This window comes from Homo sapiens, chromosome 15 (assembly GCF_000001405.40).
Source record: "Homo sapiens chromosome 15, GRCh38.p14 Primary Assembly".
Lineage (NCBI taxonomy): Eukaryota > Metazoa > Chordata > Mammalia > Primates > Hominidae > Homo > Homo sapiens.
Genome location: NC_000015.10, coordinates 46094700 through 46112323, shown reverse-complemented (window position 1 = coordinate 46112323; position 17624 = coordinate 46094700). Strand labels below are relative to the sequence as shown.

Here is a 17624-nt window from a genome sequence, read left to right as displayed (position 1 = left end):
GTAGTAATTTGAGCAAGACAAATTTATAAATTAATTTTTATTAGACCAGCTATAATTTGAAGTAGCAGATTGCATGATAAAATCACTGAACAGGCATGTATCTTAGATTCCATTTTCCTGAAGACAGAGTCTAAAAGGAGAGAAAATAGTAACTTTACAGTGGAGAAACCTGATAAACAAGATCTCAGCCAGGTAATCAAGATCAACATCAATAATGATAATGAAGCAAGATATTTCCCTGACTCCACTGCAGAACTCACAAAGGAAGTGCCTCATTTACTCAGCCCACAGCTCTCAACTCCTTGTGGGAGGGAACATGCAAGCAAATGAAGCAGGAACTGGAGTGCACGGGCACAGGAACTAGCCAGCCACTTTGGCACTGACAGAGGTGAACTCCACTCACTGGGACCTGCTGTGCTCCACCCCTTGCAGGAGGGAGCATGCAGGTGAGCAGGTGCAGGAGCTGGGACAAGCACTTTTGGGTGCTGGCAGCAGCCAACTCTGTGCAGCCCCTGCAGCAATGTCTGGGGGAAAGGGGGGTGCCCGTGACCCCTGAAGCCCCAGAGGGAGTGTTATAGCGCTCTTTTAGCACTACTATCCATGGATGGCTTAAATGTTAACAGCTCAGTGGACCCTCTGCCTTTTTGCATAAGGCAGCTGCCTTCTGCCAGTAAGGGGAAAGGGTCAGTGTGACAGACTTTTGCACCTGCACTCATGGTTGCCAAGTTCTTGTCTGGCGCCCAGGAGAAATGAGGTTGTGTGAACAAACTGAAGGATGAAAATGTGGGGAATTTTATTGCTAATGGAGGTGGCTCTCAGTGGGAAAGGGAGCTGAAAAGGGCATGAGGCAGGAAGGTAATCTTCCCCTGAAGTCTGGCCATCTCCGGCCAGATTCTTCTCCAAAGTTGTCAAGCTATCCCTCTGAAGTCAAAGTGCTTCTCTTTGACATCAACCCTTAGTCATCTCAATGTCCAGCTGCTTCACCTCTCTCTGCCAGCTGAGCCTGGGGTTTTTATAGGCACAGAATGGTGGGGCAGGGTTGGTCCATGGGTGGTTGTGGAAAAGGCAGCATTTAAGCAGGAAAACAGGGATGTAAGTTCTCACTTCAGGCCATGGTCTGAGGCTTTTTGTCTTGAGGATAGGGCTTCACCAGGGGCCCACTCTTTTCTGCCTAGAATTTCTCTGCCTCCTATCCCTATCAATAAGTCATGTTGATAGCATATGCTTTTTATATGATGTGATGAAAATGACACTTTACCTCTCGTCTTCCTCCCCAAACTCCTTAACCTCAGTCTAATCATCAGCTAAACATCAGACAAATCTCAATTAAAGGACACACTAGAAAACATCTGACCAGTACTCCTCAAAACTGTCAAGGTCATCAAAAACAAGAAAACTCTAAGAAACCGTTTTAGCCAAGAGAAATCTAAGAACACACAGAAATAAAATGTAATGTGGTATCCTTGATGGAATCTAGGGCAGGGGGAGAGTGAAAACATTAGGTTAAAAACTATGAAAATCTGAATAAACTAATTTTAATTAATAGATCAATTTTAGCTCATGAATTATACATACCATACTTATCAGATGTAATATATTAGTAGTAAGGGAAACTGGGTACAAGATGTATGAGAACACTTTGTAATACCTCTTTTTCTTTTTTTTTATTATTATACTTTAAGTTTTAGGGTACATGTGCACAATGTGCAGGTTACATATGTATACATGTGCCATGCTGGTGCTCTGCACCCACTAACTCGTCATCTAGCATTAGGTATATCTCCCAATGCTATCCCTCCCCCCTCCCCCAACCCCACAACAGTCCCCAGAGTGTGATGTTCCCCTTCCTGTGTCCATGTGTTCTCATTGTTCAATTCCCACCTATAAGTGAGAATATGCGGTGTTTGGTTTTTTGTTCTTGCAATAGTTTACTGAGAATGATAATTTCCAATTTCATCCATGTCCCTACAAAGGACATGAACTCATCATTTTTATGGCTGCATAGTATTCCATGGTGTCTATGTGCCACATTTTCTTAATCCAGTCTATCATTGTTGGACATTTGGGTTGGTTCCATTGTGAATACTGCCACAATAAACATACGTGTGCATGTGTCTTTATAACAACATGATTTATAGTCCTTTGGGTATATACCCAGTAATGGGATGGCTAGGTCAAATGGTATTTCTAGTTGTAGATCCCTGAGGAATCACCACACTGACTTCCACAATGGTTGAACTAGTTTACAGTCCCACCAACAGTGAAAAAGTGTTCCTATTTCTCCACATCCTCTCCAGCACCTGTTGTTTCCTGGCTTTTTAATGATTGCCATTCTAACTGGTGTGAGATGGTATCTCATTGTGGTTTTGATTTGCATTTCTCTGATGGCCAGTGATGCTGAGCATTTTTTCATGTGTTTTTTGGCTGCATAAATGTCTTCTTTTGAGAAGTGTCTGTTCATGTCCTTTGCCCACTTGTTGATGGGGTTGTTTTTCTCTTGTAAATTTGTTTGAGTTCATTGTAGATTCTGGATATAAGCCCTTTGTCAGATGAGTAGGTTGCAAAAATTTTCTCCCATTTTGTGGGTTGCCTGTTCACTCTGATGGTAGTTTCTTTTGCTGTGCAGAAGCTCTTTAGTTTAATTAGATCCCATTTGTCAATTTTGGCTTTTGTTGCCATTGCTTTTGGTGTTTTAGACATGAAGTCCTTGCCCATGCCTATGTCCTGAATGGTAATGCCTAGGTTTTCTTCTAGGGATTTTATGGTTTTAGGTCTAATGTTTAAGTCGTTAATCCATCTTCAATTGATTTTTGTATAAGGTGTAAGGAAGGGATCCAATTTCGGCTTTCTACATATGGCTAGCCAGTTTTCCCAGCACCATTTATTAAATAGGGAATCCTTTCCCCATTGCTTGTTTTTCTCAGGTTTGTCAAAGATCAGATAGTTGTAGATATGCGGTGTTATTTCTGAGGGCTCTGTTCCGTTCCACTGATCTCTATCTCTGTTTTGGTACCAGTACCATGCTGTTTTGGTTACTGTAGCCTTGTAGTATAGTTTGAAGTCAGGTAGTTTGAAGTCAGGTAGCGTGATGCCTCCAGCTTTGTTCTTTTGGCTTAGGATTGACTTGGCGATGCGGGCTCTTTTTTGGTTTCATATGAACTTTAAAGTAGTTTTTTCCAATTCTGTGAAGAAAGTCATTGGTAGCTTGATGGGGATGGCATTGAATCTATAAATTACCTTGGGCAGTATGGCCATTTTCATGATATTGATTCTTCCTACCCATGAGCATGGAATGTTCTTCCATTTGTTTGTATCCTCTTTTATTTCACTGAGCAGTGGTTTGTAGTTCTCCTTGAAAAGGTCCTTCACATCCCTTGTAAGTTGGATTCCTAGGTATTTTATTCTCTTTGAAGCAATTGTGAATGGGAGTTCACTCATGATTTGGCTCTCTGTTTGTCTGTTGTTGGTGTATAAGAATGTTTGTGATTTTTCTACATTGATTTTGTATCCTGAAACTTTGCTGAAGTTGCTTATCAGCTTAAGGAGATTTTGGGCTGAGACAATGGGGTTTTCTAGATATACAATCATGTCGTCTGCAAATAGGGACAATTTGACTTTCTCTTTTCCTAATTGAATACCCTTTATTTCCTTCTCCTGCCTGATTGCCCTGGCCAGAACTTCTAACACTATGTTGAATAGGAGTGGTGAGAGAGGGCATCCCTGTCTTGTGCCAGTTTTCAAAGGTGATGCTTCCACTTTTTGCCCATTCAGTATGATATTGGCTGTGGGTTTGTCATTGATAGCTATTATTTTGCGATATGTCCCATCAATACCTAATTTATTGAGAGTTTTTAGCATGAAGGGTTGTTGAATTTTGTCAAAGGCCTTTTCTGCATCTATTGAGATAATCATGTGGTTTTTGTCTTTGGCTCTGTTTATATGCTGGATTACATTTATTGATTTGCGTATATTGAACCAGTCTTGCATCCCAGGGATGAAGCCCACTTGATCATGGTGGATAAGCTTTTTGATGTGCTGCTGGATTCGGTTTGCCAGTATTTTATTGAGGATTTTTGCATCAATGTTCATCAAGGATATTGGTCTAAAATTCTCTTTTTTGGTTGTGTCTCTGCCGGGCTTTGGTATCAGGATGATGCTGGCCTCATAAAATGAGTTAGGGAGGATTCCCTCTTTTTCTATTGATTGGAATAGTTTCAGAAGGAATGGTACCACTTCCTCCTTGTACCTCTGGTAGAATTCGGCTGTGAATCCATCTGGTCCTGGACTCTTTTTGGTTGGTAAGCTATTGATTATTGCCACAATTTCAGCTCCTGTTATTGGTCTATTCAGAGATTCAACTTCTTCCTGGTTTAGTCTTGGGAGGATGTATGTGTCGAGGAATTTATCCATTTCTTCTAGATTTTCTAGTTTATTTGCATAGAGGTGTTTGTAGTATTCTCTGATGGTAGTTTGTATTTCTGTGGGATCGGTGGTGATAGCCCCTTTATCATTTTTTATTGCATCTATTTGATTCTTCTTTTTTTCTTTATTAGTCTTGCTAGCGGTCTATCAATTTTGTTGATCCTTTCAAAAAACCAGCTCCTGGAGTCATTAAATTTTTGAAGGGTTTTTTGTGTCTCTATTTCCTTCAGTTCTGCTCCGATTTTAGTTATTTCTTGCCTTCTGCTAGCTTTTGAATGTGTTTGCTCTTGCTTTTCTAGTTCTTTTAATTGTGATGTTAGGGTGTCAATTTTGGATCTTTCCTGCTTTCTCTTGTGGGCATTTAGTGCTATAAATTTCTCTCTACACACTGCTTTGAATGTGTCCCAGAGATTCTGGTATGTTGTGTCTTTGTTCTCATTGGTTTCAAAGAACATCTTTATTTCTGCCTTAATTTCGTTATGTACCCAGTAGTCATTCAGGAGCAGGTTGTTCAGTTTCCATGTAGTTGAGGGGTTTTGAGTGAGTTTCTTAATCCTGAGTTCTAGTTTGATTGCACTGTGGTCTGAGAGATAGTTTGTTATAATTTCTGTTCTTTTACATTTGCTGAGGAGAGCTTTACTTCCAACTATGTGGTCAATTTTGGAATAGGTGTGGTGTGGTGCTGAAAAAAATGTATATTCTGTTGATTTGGGGTGGAGAGTTCTGTAGATGTCTATTAGGTCCGCTTGGTGCAGAGCTGAGTTCAATTCCTGGGTATCCTTGTTGACTTTCTGTCTCGTTGATCTGTCTAATGTTGACAGTGGGGTGTTAAAGTCTCCCATTATTAATGTGTGGGAGTCTAAGTCTCTTTGTAGGTCACTCAGGACTTGCTTTATGAATCTGGGTGCTCCTGTATTGGGTGCATAAATATTTAGGATAGTTAGCTCTTCTTGTTGAATTGATCCCTTTACCATTATGTAATGGCCTTCTTTGTCTCTTTTGATCTTTGTTGGTTTAAAGTCTGTTTTATCAGAGACTAGGATTGCAACCCCTGCCTTTGTTTTCCATTTGCTTGGTAGATCTTCCTCCATCCTTTTATTTTGAGCCTATGTGTGTCTCTGCACGTGAGATGGGTTTCCTGAATACAGCACACTGATGGGTCTTGACTCTTTATCCAATTTGCCAGTCTGTGTCTTTTAATTGGAGCATTTAGTCCATTTACATTTAAAGTTAATATTGTTATGTGTGAATTTGAACCTGTCATTATGATGTTAGCTGGTTATTTTGCTCATTAGTTGATGCCATTTCTTCCTAGTCTTGATGGTCTTTACATTTTGGCATGATTTTGCAGCAGCTGGTACCGGTTGTTCCTTTCCATGTTTAGTGCTTCCTTCAGGAGCTCTTGTAAGGCAGGCCTGGTGGGGACAAAATCTCTCAGCATTTGCTTGTCTGTAAAGTATTTTCTTTCTCCTTCACTTATGAAGCTTAGTTTGGCTGGATATGAAATTCTGGGTTGAAAATTCTTTTCTTTAAGAATGTTGAATATTGGCCCCCACTGTCTTCTGGCTTGTAGAGTTTCTGCAGAGAGATCCGCTGTTAGTCTGATGGGCTTCCCTTTGTGGGTAACCTGACCTTTCTCTCTGGCTGCCCTTAACATTTTTTCCTTCATTTCAACTTTGGTGAATCTGACAATTATGTGTCTTGGAGTTGCTCTTCTCGAGGAGTATCTTTGTGGCATTCTCTGTATTTCTTGAATCTGAATGTTGGCCTGCCTTGCTAGGTTGGGGAAGTTCTCCTGGATAATATCCTGCAGAGTGTTTTCCAACTTGGTTTCATTCTCCCCGTCACTTTCAGGTACACCAATCAGACGTAGATTTGGTCTTTTCACATAGTCCCATATTTCTTGGAGGCTTTGTTCATTTCTTTTTATTCTTTTTTCTCTAAACTTCCCTTCTCACTTCATTTCATTCATTTCATCTTCCATTGCTGATACCCTTTCTTCCAGTTGATCGCATTGGCTCCCGAGGCTTCTGCATTCTTCACATAGTTCTCAAGCCTTGGCTTTCAGCTCCATCAGCTCCTTTAAGCACTTCTCTGTATTGGTTATTCTAGTTATACATTTGTCTAAATTTTTTTCAAAGTTTTTAACTTCTTTGCCTTTGGTTTGAATTTCCTCCTGTAGCTCGTAGTTTGATCGTCAGAAGCCTTCTTCTCTCAACTCGTCAAAGTCATTCTCCATCCAGCTTTGTTCCATTGCTGGTGAGGAACTACAATCCTTTGGAGGAGGAGAGGTGCTCTGCTGTTTAGAGTTTCCAGTTTTTCTGCTCTGTTTTTTCCCCATCTTTGTGGTTTTATCTACTTTTGGTCTTTGATAATGGTGATGTACAGATGGGTTTTTGGTGTGGATGTCCTTTCTGTTTGTTAGTTTTCCTTCTAACAGAAAGGACCCTCAGCTGCAGGTCTGTTGGAGTTTACTAGAGGTCCACTCCCGACCCTGTTTTCCTGGGTATCAGCAGCGGTGTCTGCAAAACAGTGGTTTTTTGTGAACCGTGAATGCTGCTGTCTGATTGTTCCTCTGGAAGTTTTGTCTCAGAGGAGTACCCAGCCGCGTGAGGTGTCAGTCTGCCCCTACTGGGGGGTGCCTCCCAGTTACACTGCTCAGGGGTCAGGGACCCACTAGAGGAGGCAGTCTGCCCGTTCTCAGATCTTCAGCTGCATGCTGGGAGAACAACTGCTCTCTTCAAAGCTGTCAGACAGGGACATTTAAGTCTGCAGAGGTTACTGCTGTCTTTTTGTTTGTCTGTGCCCTGCCCCCAGAGGTGGAGCCTACAGAGGCAGGCAGGCCTCCTTGAGCTGTGGTGGGCTCCACCCAGTTCGAGCTTCCTGGCTGCTTTGTTTACCTAAGCAAGCCTGGGAAATGGCAGGCGCCCCTTCCCCAGCCTCGCTGCCGCCTTGCAGTTTGATCTCAGACTGCTGTGCTAGCAATCAGCAAGACTCCGTGGGCATAGGACCCTCCGAGCCAGGTGCGGGATATAATCTCCTGGTGCGCCATTTTTTAAGCCCATCAGAAAAGCGCAGTATTCGGGTGGGAGTGACCCGATTTTCCAGGTGCTGTCTGTCACCCCTTTCTTTGACTAGGAAAGGGAACTCCCTGACCCCTTGCGCTTCCCAAGTGAGGCAACGCCTCGCCCTGCTTTGGCTTGCACACAGTGCGCTGCACCCACTGACCTGCACCCACTGTCTGGCACTCCCCAGTGAGATGAACCCGGTACCTCAGATGGGAATGCAGAAATCACCCTTCTTCTGCATCGCTCACGCTGGGAGCTGTAGACCGGAACTGTTCCTATTACAAATCTCCCGTAATTCTAAAACTGTTCCACAAAATAATGTTGTTTTTTTTTTTTTTTTTTTTTTGAGACAGAGTTTCACTCTTGTTGCCCAGGCTGGAGTGCAATGGCACAATCTTGGCTCACTGCAACTTCCATCTCCTGGGTTCAAGTGATTCTCCTGCCTCAGTCTCCCTAATAGATGGGATTACAGGCAGATGCCACGACACCCAGCTAATTTTTGTATTTTTAGTAAAGACAGGGTTTCACCATGTTGGTCAGACTGGTTTTGAACTCCTGACCTCAGGTGATCTGCCCACCTCAGCCTCCCAAAGTGCTGGGATTACAGGCATGAGCCACCATGCCCGGCCAAAATAATTTATTTTAAAACAAATTTAATTCCTCATACTAAAGCTCAAACTGTTGGTATAGGACTCTACAAAATACCTTAGAAAGAAAATCCCTATTATGTGGAGCACCTCTCCTACATCACTTCAGATCCTTTAGAATTCTTTCAGCCTCACCTCTCATTCTAGCCCCTAATAACACTTCCGTATGGGCTACCCCCACTTTAGCACAGGTGCACGTTTACTGCATCTCATGGCATTCTTTCCTGCCTTGCATTTCTTGGACATCATTGCATGAAACATCCAAGAGAACCCACGTAAAAGGAAACTTAAAGGAGTCATTCAAACAGACTCTTAGGACTAGCTGCATGTGTCCTTGCCAGTACATTGACTTCTAAGCCACAAATGAGAGACTCTGAGTCCATAAATTCTCCCTTATTGAGCCTGTTCTCCCCTGTGTTTATCAACCAGGTATTCATTCTGCTTTAGGCATCCTTGTAGGATATGCCCTAATGGTCCACCCAAGGTACAGGAAAGCTTCTGTGTTTATCTACCCACTCCCATTTCTCATTGATGAAGGTTATCCCAGGAGCATTTAGCACCAGCATTTCTTGGCTGCTCTGCACATGGGTTTAAACCAACTTCAGAGGTACTAAAGAAACCCTTCAGGCAGAGAAGCAAAGAGATACAGGTACTGAAATGGTAAGCTGTCATTGTACATGGAAACTTCACCACAGTTCTGGCTGAATTTAGAGGTGCATCTGAAGTTATAAAGTGGGACTTTAACAAGGTCTGCTCGTCCAGGGTTTTAATCTTCCTAGGCTCATTGATCCCAGAGTCTTCATCTCAGATCTCAGGGACCTAAGCTTTACCTATTAAAGAGCTTAAGATAGGAGACTCAGATGCTACAATTTTATTGGAAGGATGATCCTAGAGAGCAAAAGTGAGTGACAAAGGGAATGAAGCAGAAAAGGAGAGAAAGACCAGTATAAGCACATGACTGATGGCCGAAGCCCATAAGACTTTTCCTAAAGTGCCATGTGAAATGTGCCCAGGGATATTGCATGGGTGGAGGAACAAAGGGGAGCCAGTGGGTAAATGTTTTACCAGTGGGAATGGGCAAAGGTTTGCCCTGCAGAGTGTTAACTCTCTGCTCTCCCAGCATGAATATGTGAGGGCTCCAAGAAGGTCCCAGGATGGAAGGCAAGATGTTAATGAAGAGCTAGTTGCTATAGCTATAGTTGATAGAAGACAGGTGACTTGGAGAGGATGAAACTGGTGTATGACATAACAGGTGTATGACCAGGAATCCAAGCAATATAGAACTACAATATCAGCAAGAACATGGAAGATGAAGGCTGAGATGTATTAGACTTTTTTCTATCTTTCTCTTCCTCCTGAACAATGCAAAGTCTAAGATCAATTTTCCTCTAGGTCAATATTCATGTAAACACATCAAGGTGAGCACTAAAATACTACATATACAATCAATAAATTCCGAACTAGAAAAGGGAAAAAGAGAATAGAGATCCAATCAATCCAAGAAGTCAAGAAAAGAATTAGGAGAGACAAAAAGGTCTTAAAATCCATACAACAGTAGAATCACCAAATGCAATGATTAAACACGCCTTTAAAAGACAGATAATCTGACTGGCTCTTTAAAAGAAATTGTTATAAGCTGATTAGGAAGAGATACACCTAGCAAATACTAAATTTAAAAATGCCAATGTCAAATATTCACATAAGATTGAGTAGTTGTGTATCAATCAATATGCAGTGTTTATCTCCAACAATGCATTTTTACTAATGGAAAATGTACTATGAATTTGTGTGCATATAACAAAACCTCAGTATAAAGCAAACACTGGTAGAAGATTTCATTATGACTGTACATTTGTCAATTTTTCTTTAGATTTATATTATAGTTCTCCTAAATAAATTGGTAAGTACAGGATTTGAACTGTTAACAATTTATTCCAATAAAAATATCTATAACATTGCAACTAAGAATAATTTGATTCATATATATATGTATTATTTTTATTCACATATATAAAACATTTTTGGTTTTCAAGTTGATATATAGACCATGGTCTGACTGCAATGCAATTAAGTAAGTTGATGCAATTTTCCACAATTTCAAAAATCTTATATTATTTTGCCTCCTTTTATGTTTAATGAACCCCCATGTACTCATCACACAGCCTCATTTACTAATTCAGACAATTTTGTTTCATCTATACCCCACTTACTTCCCTAGTCCAATATTATTTTGAAGCAAATCTAATAAATCAACTCTCAGAAGCACACACTGAAATATTCATGAATAAAATAAGTGCTGTAACCTATAGGGTTTTTAAAATTCTGGTATCCTACAAGTCTGCTTTTGTAACTTTTTTGTTCTTTGCAAAGACTTTGAAATAACTACGGATGGCCAACAAAGAAAAACTCATTCAACTGATTTCTGCTTCTTTTTATTTCTTCCTTTCTTCTAATTTATGCAGGTAGGGTTTTTGTAGTCTGAGATTTTTTAATGTTTTCAAATATTTAAAAGTGAACTTATTTTCAAAATTAAAACTTAGATGTAATGCATTTAAAATGTAAGAAACTACTAAGAAATATTAAGAACCAATTTACAAATGGTTTTATTACTTGTGCCTTCGCTTTGTTTTTCAAGTGACCAACTTCTAGCTAAATGAAAATGAAAAAGGATAACACGATTGAGATGATGCTCCATCATGAAAATATAGTGAACAAGTTTGTCCCTGTCATCTATGTTTTCAAATCTACTGGCATAATTTATTCCCATGTCTTGATAATTTTCTGGTATGTAGAAAAATGGAACTTACCAATAATAATAAATATTAATGTATATATTTGAGAGTCTTATATGCTAGGCACTCTTTTAGGCATGAGAAACCAGCAATAACCAAGACTCTGCTTTTTGGTTATAGGAGACATGTTGGTATGGGATGGGGTAGGGGTAGGATCATAGCAAGCAAACAATATCCCACTAGGTTCAAATGGTTTGATAGGTAACTTTTACCATGAAATCTTTACATTCAGTCTTTATATCAAGTTCATACTCATTTTAAAGACATGGTTCTGTTACTTAAATTTGAGTAGCATCCCTTCTTTTGTAGTCTCTCAAACTTCAGATCTATAAAATATTTCTATAAACATATGTACAAAAAATCTTAGATTGTTACTAGTATTTATGATAGATAATACATCAAAACTGAATAAAGCGTACTGTGAATGTGCAAAGAAAGTTAGGTATCAGATAATATGCACAAGTACATTAGACTAAGATTTAAAGAGAACCATATTCTTATTTCAATAGGGTCACAAAAATCTCGAAGAAAATATAATGCACAGTCAGTACTATTCTATTAATAGAAGGGAACATAACATAATAAAAGGTGTCTACCACAGAGCATCTCATGATTAATGGTGACACTAGTTTAGAAGCTATTCTACTGAAGTGAGGAGCAAGGCATAACTCCTAGTGGTCAACATTGTACTAGAGCTTCTATTTAACTCATTAACACAAAAGAAATTAGGTACAAAGAATAAAAACAAACAAGGCTCTCTTCTGGAGCTGGGACATTCATCTTCTCCTGCCTTCCAACATCAGAACTCCAAGTTCTCCAGCCTTTGGACTCAAGAACAAGCTCCTCCTCTGGTTCTCAAGCCTTTGGTCTAGAAGTGGGAGTCACACCGTTAGCTCCTCTGGTCCTCAGGCCTTTGGACTCAAACTGATGTTAGATAATGCATGTGGGAGTTACACCATCAGCTTCTCTGGTCCTCCAGCTTGCAGAGAGCATGACATGGGACTTCTTGGCCTCCACAATCACATTCACAAAGTTCATCATGATTCAGGAGACAATTATTATACAGATCCTCATTTGTTCAGATACAAAAGAAGGAGGGAAGAGTCCATTGATGTGAATTTGATATCTCCTTGAGGCAGTGATGTACTAAGCCTATAGAATCATTACTATCTCTCCATGGCAGAAGTCCACTCCATGACTATTGAGTCTCCCACCACAGGGATTATAAATATTATCAGCACAGCCCAAGAAAACACCCAAGTCATGGTAACAGAAGCCTTAGATAGGGTTTAAGAAATTTTGCAAATCACAGAACTGTCCTCTTCATAGCTGACCACTAAAGATGAAGACCCTCAAAACCAGTGATCTTTCTAGAGGTCTGATGACTGATGCCTTGGGAAGGTTTTCAGGAAATGAGTATGAGTTTACTATGAATATGCACCAGAGTTGCAGTCACCTTGTGATGCCACTAACCATCTATATCAGTCCATTCTCACACTGCTATACAGAAATACCTGAGACTGGGTAACTTATAAAGAAAAGAGGTTTAATTGGCTCACAGTTCTGCAGGCTGTACAGGAAGCATGATGCTTGCTGTTATCTGCTTGACTTCTGGGAAGGCCTCAGTAAACTTTCCATCATGGCAGAAGGTAAAGAGAAAGCAGTCATGTCTTACATGGCCAGAGTAGGAGGAAGACAACAAGAGGGCAGGTGCCACATACTTTTAAACAACCAGATCTCGTGGGAACTCTAACACAAGGACAGCACTGGGGGGTGACGCTAAACCATTAGAAACCGCCCCCATGATCAAATCACCTCCCACCAGGCCTCACCTCCAACATTGGGGATTACAATTGAACATGAGATTTGGTTGGGGACACAGAGCCAAACCATATCACCATCAATGATGATCTCCTTTACATTGCTTAATTACTCGATAATAAAGAGAGTTAGGATTTCAACATCTTTAAATTGGAGGTTGTTACACATAAAAGGCCATTGGTTGACCTGGGCTTAAAGGCCTTTTTCTGGTTTGGAATATGTGAATTTTAAAACTGTTCTGAAACCCCTCTTCAGGCCTAGCTCCAAGTCATTGAAGCCAACTACCACTTGTCCAAAGTCTACCATAACTCCACCATGCTGCAGACATCCTGCATGCCACTGCTGTCCTCCTTGGTAAGGAAATAATTCGGGTAGAATTTTGATATCATGATCTAATTACCTGCCTGGATTCCAGATCTAATAATTCAATCTTAGTAAATATATTAGACAAACAGCTATTTTACAACCAATTTAACAGAGCTTTTTGAGCTACCAAATTGTTTTGGTATTATAAGGACATGGCTCTTTTTCTTATTCTCCACTCCCTCAAATAGCTAAAATAATAATTTATGGCATGGTTAAAAAAAAAAGAAAGAATAAAGAAACAAGATGAGTGATTGCAAATGTTATAATTACCACAAAGAACCAATAACTCCTATGAGTTCTACAGGTTTGTCTCTAAACTTTATTAAAATCAAATATTTCTATATTTTTGCAAAAATAAAGTAGAAAAATAAAAGAGAATAAAAAAAATACCCTTCTCCCTCTCCCTCGTCTCCCTTTGCACGGTCTCCCTCTGATGCCAAGCCCAGGCTGGACTGTACTGCCACCATCTCCACTCGCTGCAACCTCCCTGCCTGATTCTCCTGCCTCAGCCTGCCGAGTGCCTGGGATTGCAGGCGTGCCACCACGCCTGACTGGTTTTCGTATTTTTTGGTGGAGACGGGGTTTCACAGTGCTGGCCTGGCTGGTCTCCAGCTCCTGACCACGAGGGATCTGCCAGCCTCAGCCTCCCGAGGTGCCGGGATTGCAGACGGAGTCTCACTCACTCAGTGCTCAATGTTGCCCAGGCTGGAGTGCAGTGGCATGATCTCGGCTCGCTACAACCTCCACCTCCCAGCCGCCTGCCTTGGCCTCCCAAAGTGCCGAGTTTGCAGCCTCTGCCCAGCCGCCACCCCGTCTTGGAAGTGAGGAGCGTCTCTGCCTGGCCGCCCATCGTCTGGGATGTGAGGAGCCCCTCTGCCTGGCCGCCCGCCCAGTCTGGGAAGTGAGGAGCCCCTCTTCCCGGCCGTCATCCTGTCTAGGAAGTGAGGAGGATCTCTGCCTGGCCGCCCATCCTCTGGGATGTGGGGAGCGCCTCTGCCCCGCCGCCCCGTCTGAGATGTGAAGAGCGCCTCTGCCCGGCCGCGATCCCGTCTGGGAACTGAGGAGTGCCTCTGCCCCGCCGCCACCCCGTCTGGGAGGTGAGGAGCATCTCTGACCGGCCGCCCCGCCTGAGAAGTGAGGAGCCCCTCCGCCCGGCAGCCGCCCCGTCCGGGAGGTGGGGGGATGCCTCTGCCCGGCCGCCCTGTCTGGGAAGTGAGGAGCCCCTCTGCCCAGCCGCCACCCCGTCTGGGAGGTGTACCCAATAGCTCATTGAGAACGAGCCATGATGACGATGGCGGTTTTGTCAAATAGAAAAGGGGGAAATGTGGGGAAAAGAAAGAGAGATCAGATTGTTACTGTGTCTGTGTAGAAAGAAGTAGACATAGGAGACTCCATTTTGTTCTGTACTAAGAAAAATTCTTCTGCCTTGGGATGCTGTTAATCTATAACCTTACCCCCAACCCCATGCTCTCTGAAACATGTGCTGTGTCCACTAAGGGTTAAATGGATTAAGGGCAGTGCAAGATGTGCTTTGTTAAACAGATGCTTGAAGGCAGCATACTCCTTAAGAGTCATCACCACTCCCTAATCTCAAGTACCCAGGGACACAAACACTGTGGAAGGCAGCAGGGCCCTCTGCCTAGGAAAACCAGAGACTTTTGTTCACATGTTTATCTGCTGACCTTCCCTCCACTATTGTCCTATGACCCTGCCAAATCCCCCTTCTCCAAGAAACACCCAAGAATGATCAATAAATACTAAAAAAAAAACAAAAAAAAAACCTAAAAGATTTAATATTAGCTTTGCTCCTAAGAATTTTAAGGGAAGAATTATATTGCTCTTTTGTTAACCTTATTAAAACTTTAAAGGGAGAGAGGATTTTGAGTCTTCTCATCCATTACTATGAAACCTGATGGTCAATGTTCTCCCACAAATAAATAGTAAATTAAATGCGATTTAGTTCTAAGAGGATTTTTCATAGAACTAAACATGCTACTTATAAAATTCACATAAACAAATTAAAATAGCGTGTTCACTTTTAAAAAATAAGGAAGGCATTTGCCATACCTCATAGAAGATTTAAAATAAAGCCAGAGTAATTTAACTGGTATGGTCTGAGTATAGACTGTGTATGCTGCAGTAGAAGGGGCTTGGAAGTGGTGATAACCAGACCGATAGCACCAAACATAAAGCACAAAAAAGGCTTAAATGTATGGTATCTACAGAGATGGAAACACTAATTAATGGAGGAGAACTACTCAGTAAATCTCAGATCCTTACCTCCCATCATAAAAACAATTATTGAGATGGACTGAATAGTTTTTTTTTTTTCAAAGAATTTTCCAGGAGGCCTAAGTCTGAAAAAAATTAAAAACAAAGAAAACATAGGCAAATATCTTGATTAACACACACTAGGAAAGGGCTTCCTAGATAAACCAAACAAAGTTAATTAAGGAAATGTGTTTAAACTATTTGCTTTTTATGTAATACGTGCAATTACTGTGAAATGTAAAATATACAAGCCACAGATCAAGGGAAACATAATTGGAACAAGAACACTAAAGGATCAAATTCGTGTAATTAAAGAATTCCTAGAAACTGATAAGAAAAGGCAACCAGTAGAAAACTGGGCAGAAATGACAAGAAAAATTAATAAGAAAACATCAAAATGGCCAGTGGGCATAAAAGACCTTCAATCCAAGTATTGATCGAAGTAATACAAAATAAATTTACCTTGGGATATAGAGAGACATCAGATTGACAAAACTGAGAGTTGTAATTTTCAGATTTGTTACCAAACTACTAATAGGACTATAAATTGGCACAGCCTTTTAGGACATATTGCCAAATTGCTTTCTCAAAATTTGCTTCTGGATCATGGAATACATGTATTTTTGCTTCTAGAAACACTTTCCAGAGAATCTTATGGGTGTCTGTACAAGAATATATATGACATTTATCACAGTAAAATGTACAATAGTGAAAAATAGGAATCCACCTGGATGTCAATTTTAAAAAATTGATAAATTGGGCTATAATCAATTTCTCAGTAGATATGTTTGTGTGACACACCTATGTGTATATTTACATACATATTTATATACACACAAATATACATATGATAGGTATATAAACATGGATAAGGTAGCTCTTTAAAAACTAAATGGGAGAAAGTAGGCAGGAGGAAGTAAGTGCCAGAAGATACACAGTATGAGAACATTGATGTATTTTTACAAAAGCCAAGTATACTGTTTAGTCCATATTTTTATAGATTTACTATATAGATAATCATAAATATAGGATTCTTCTCTGCAAAAAAAAAAAAAACAAAAAATCACTGTGACCAAGAAAACCATCTGGAAAACCATAGAGAAAATGTGTTTAAACTATTTTCAACAAGCTTATGCAAAGATTTGCTTCCATGAGATATGTTTCCATGTAAAAATACCAAGACTTCCCACACCAAGCTACAAGTACTTATTTATATACCCCAGAAAGTTGTAATTCTAGAACTGATGGTCACCAAAGAAAGCTGCTTGGCTTCGGGCCCTGACAAATTGCAAAAACATCAAGAGAAAACCACTACATATAGGGTTCTAGGTGTCAGAATTTGAGAAAGTATAAGAGAGGAATGGAAAGCAACTTCTTTCCTTTCTATGAAACTTCAGAGCTGAAAAAGTATTGACAATGAAACGTATGGATTCCCAAGCACAGGCTGACAGTTTTCATTTCTCATAGAGCACTTCATGTGAAGTAACCTGACAGCATTTGCAAGATGGTTTCTGAGCTGATCCGACCAGCATTTTTGTACTCACTCCTTCGACCATTAATGGAGAAAGAGAAATTGTCTTGGAAAAAGTTGTAGAACTAGGGTGCAGTCAAGCCAGAACTAAAGTTAATTTCACTAAAATTAGAGATAGTACCCCACCATACCATATCTAGAAAGAAAATCCCTTCCTCTTCAACACTTCCCTTTACCATGCGACCCCTGCCATTAACTTCTCAAAAGTAAATGCTGGCACAAAAAGTACAGTTTCCTGACTGCAACCTGGCAGGAAGTCCTTCCTTGAAGCAGGGAGAAGGAGGGAGTTTTCCCATGTCTACCAATCACAATAGATAATGCAAACAGCCTTTGGCTGTCAGCTCCTTCAAAGTCTGCCTTGGCTGCAAAGAGCTGCCTTGCCCGCAAAGAGCTGCCTTGCCCAAGGTCATTCTCTTCCCCAGAGAGCTCACACCTGGAAATTCAGTAAAGAAATATAAAAGAGGCAATTCCTTCCTGACTTATGCAACTCTGATGTGCAGTCGTTGCACCAGAGCTCTCTGCAAGGTTAGCTAAAGCTCTGTTGGGCCTGCCTCTCATTTTTATTTCTTCCTCTGCCCAATCATGCCTCCTTCACTTTTCTTTCACAGGTATTGATTCCTAATAAATATAACATACCCCAAACTTCATCTCAGTGTTTCCTTTCAGAAAACCAAAACTAAGAGAGTTGGTATTGAGAACAGTCAGA

General features: G+C 40.8%; 1 pseudogene, besides 2 other annotated features; it reads left to right on the top strand.

Moving 5' to 3' along the window:
• Nucleotides 6927–7427: an enhancer, noted in NCBI's record as "H3K4me1 hESC enhancer chr15:46397095-46397595 (GRCh37/hg19 assembly coordinates)". NCBI's record gives its function as "activates a minimal SCP1, AML or CMV promoter by ChIP-STARR-seq in primed H9 embryonic stem cells {active_cell/tissue: H9 hESC(primed)}" and the evidence as "EXISTENCE:reporter gene assay evidence [ECO:0000049][PMID:30033119]".
• LOC100419366 (phosphodiesterase 8B pseudogene) lies at nt 11950–13121 on the top strand (annotated as a pseudogene).
• Nucleotides 17119–17413: a silencer, noted in NCBI's record as "tiled region #14673; HepG2 Repressive non-DNase unmatched - State 24:Quies". NCBI's record gives its function as "represses a minimal TATA promoter and a strong SV40 promoter by Sharpr-MPRA in HepG2 cells {active_cell/tissue: HepG2}" and the evidence as "EXISTENCE:reporter gene assay evidence [ECO:0000049][PMID:27701403]".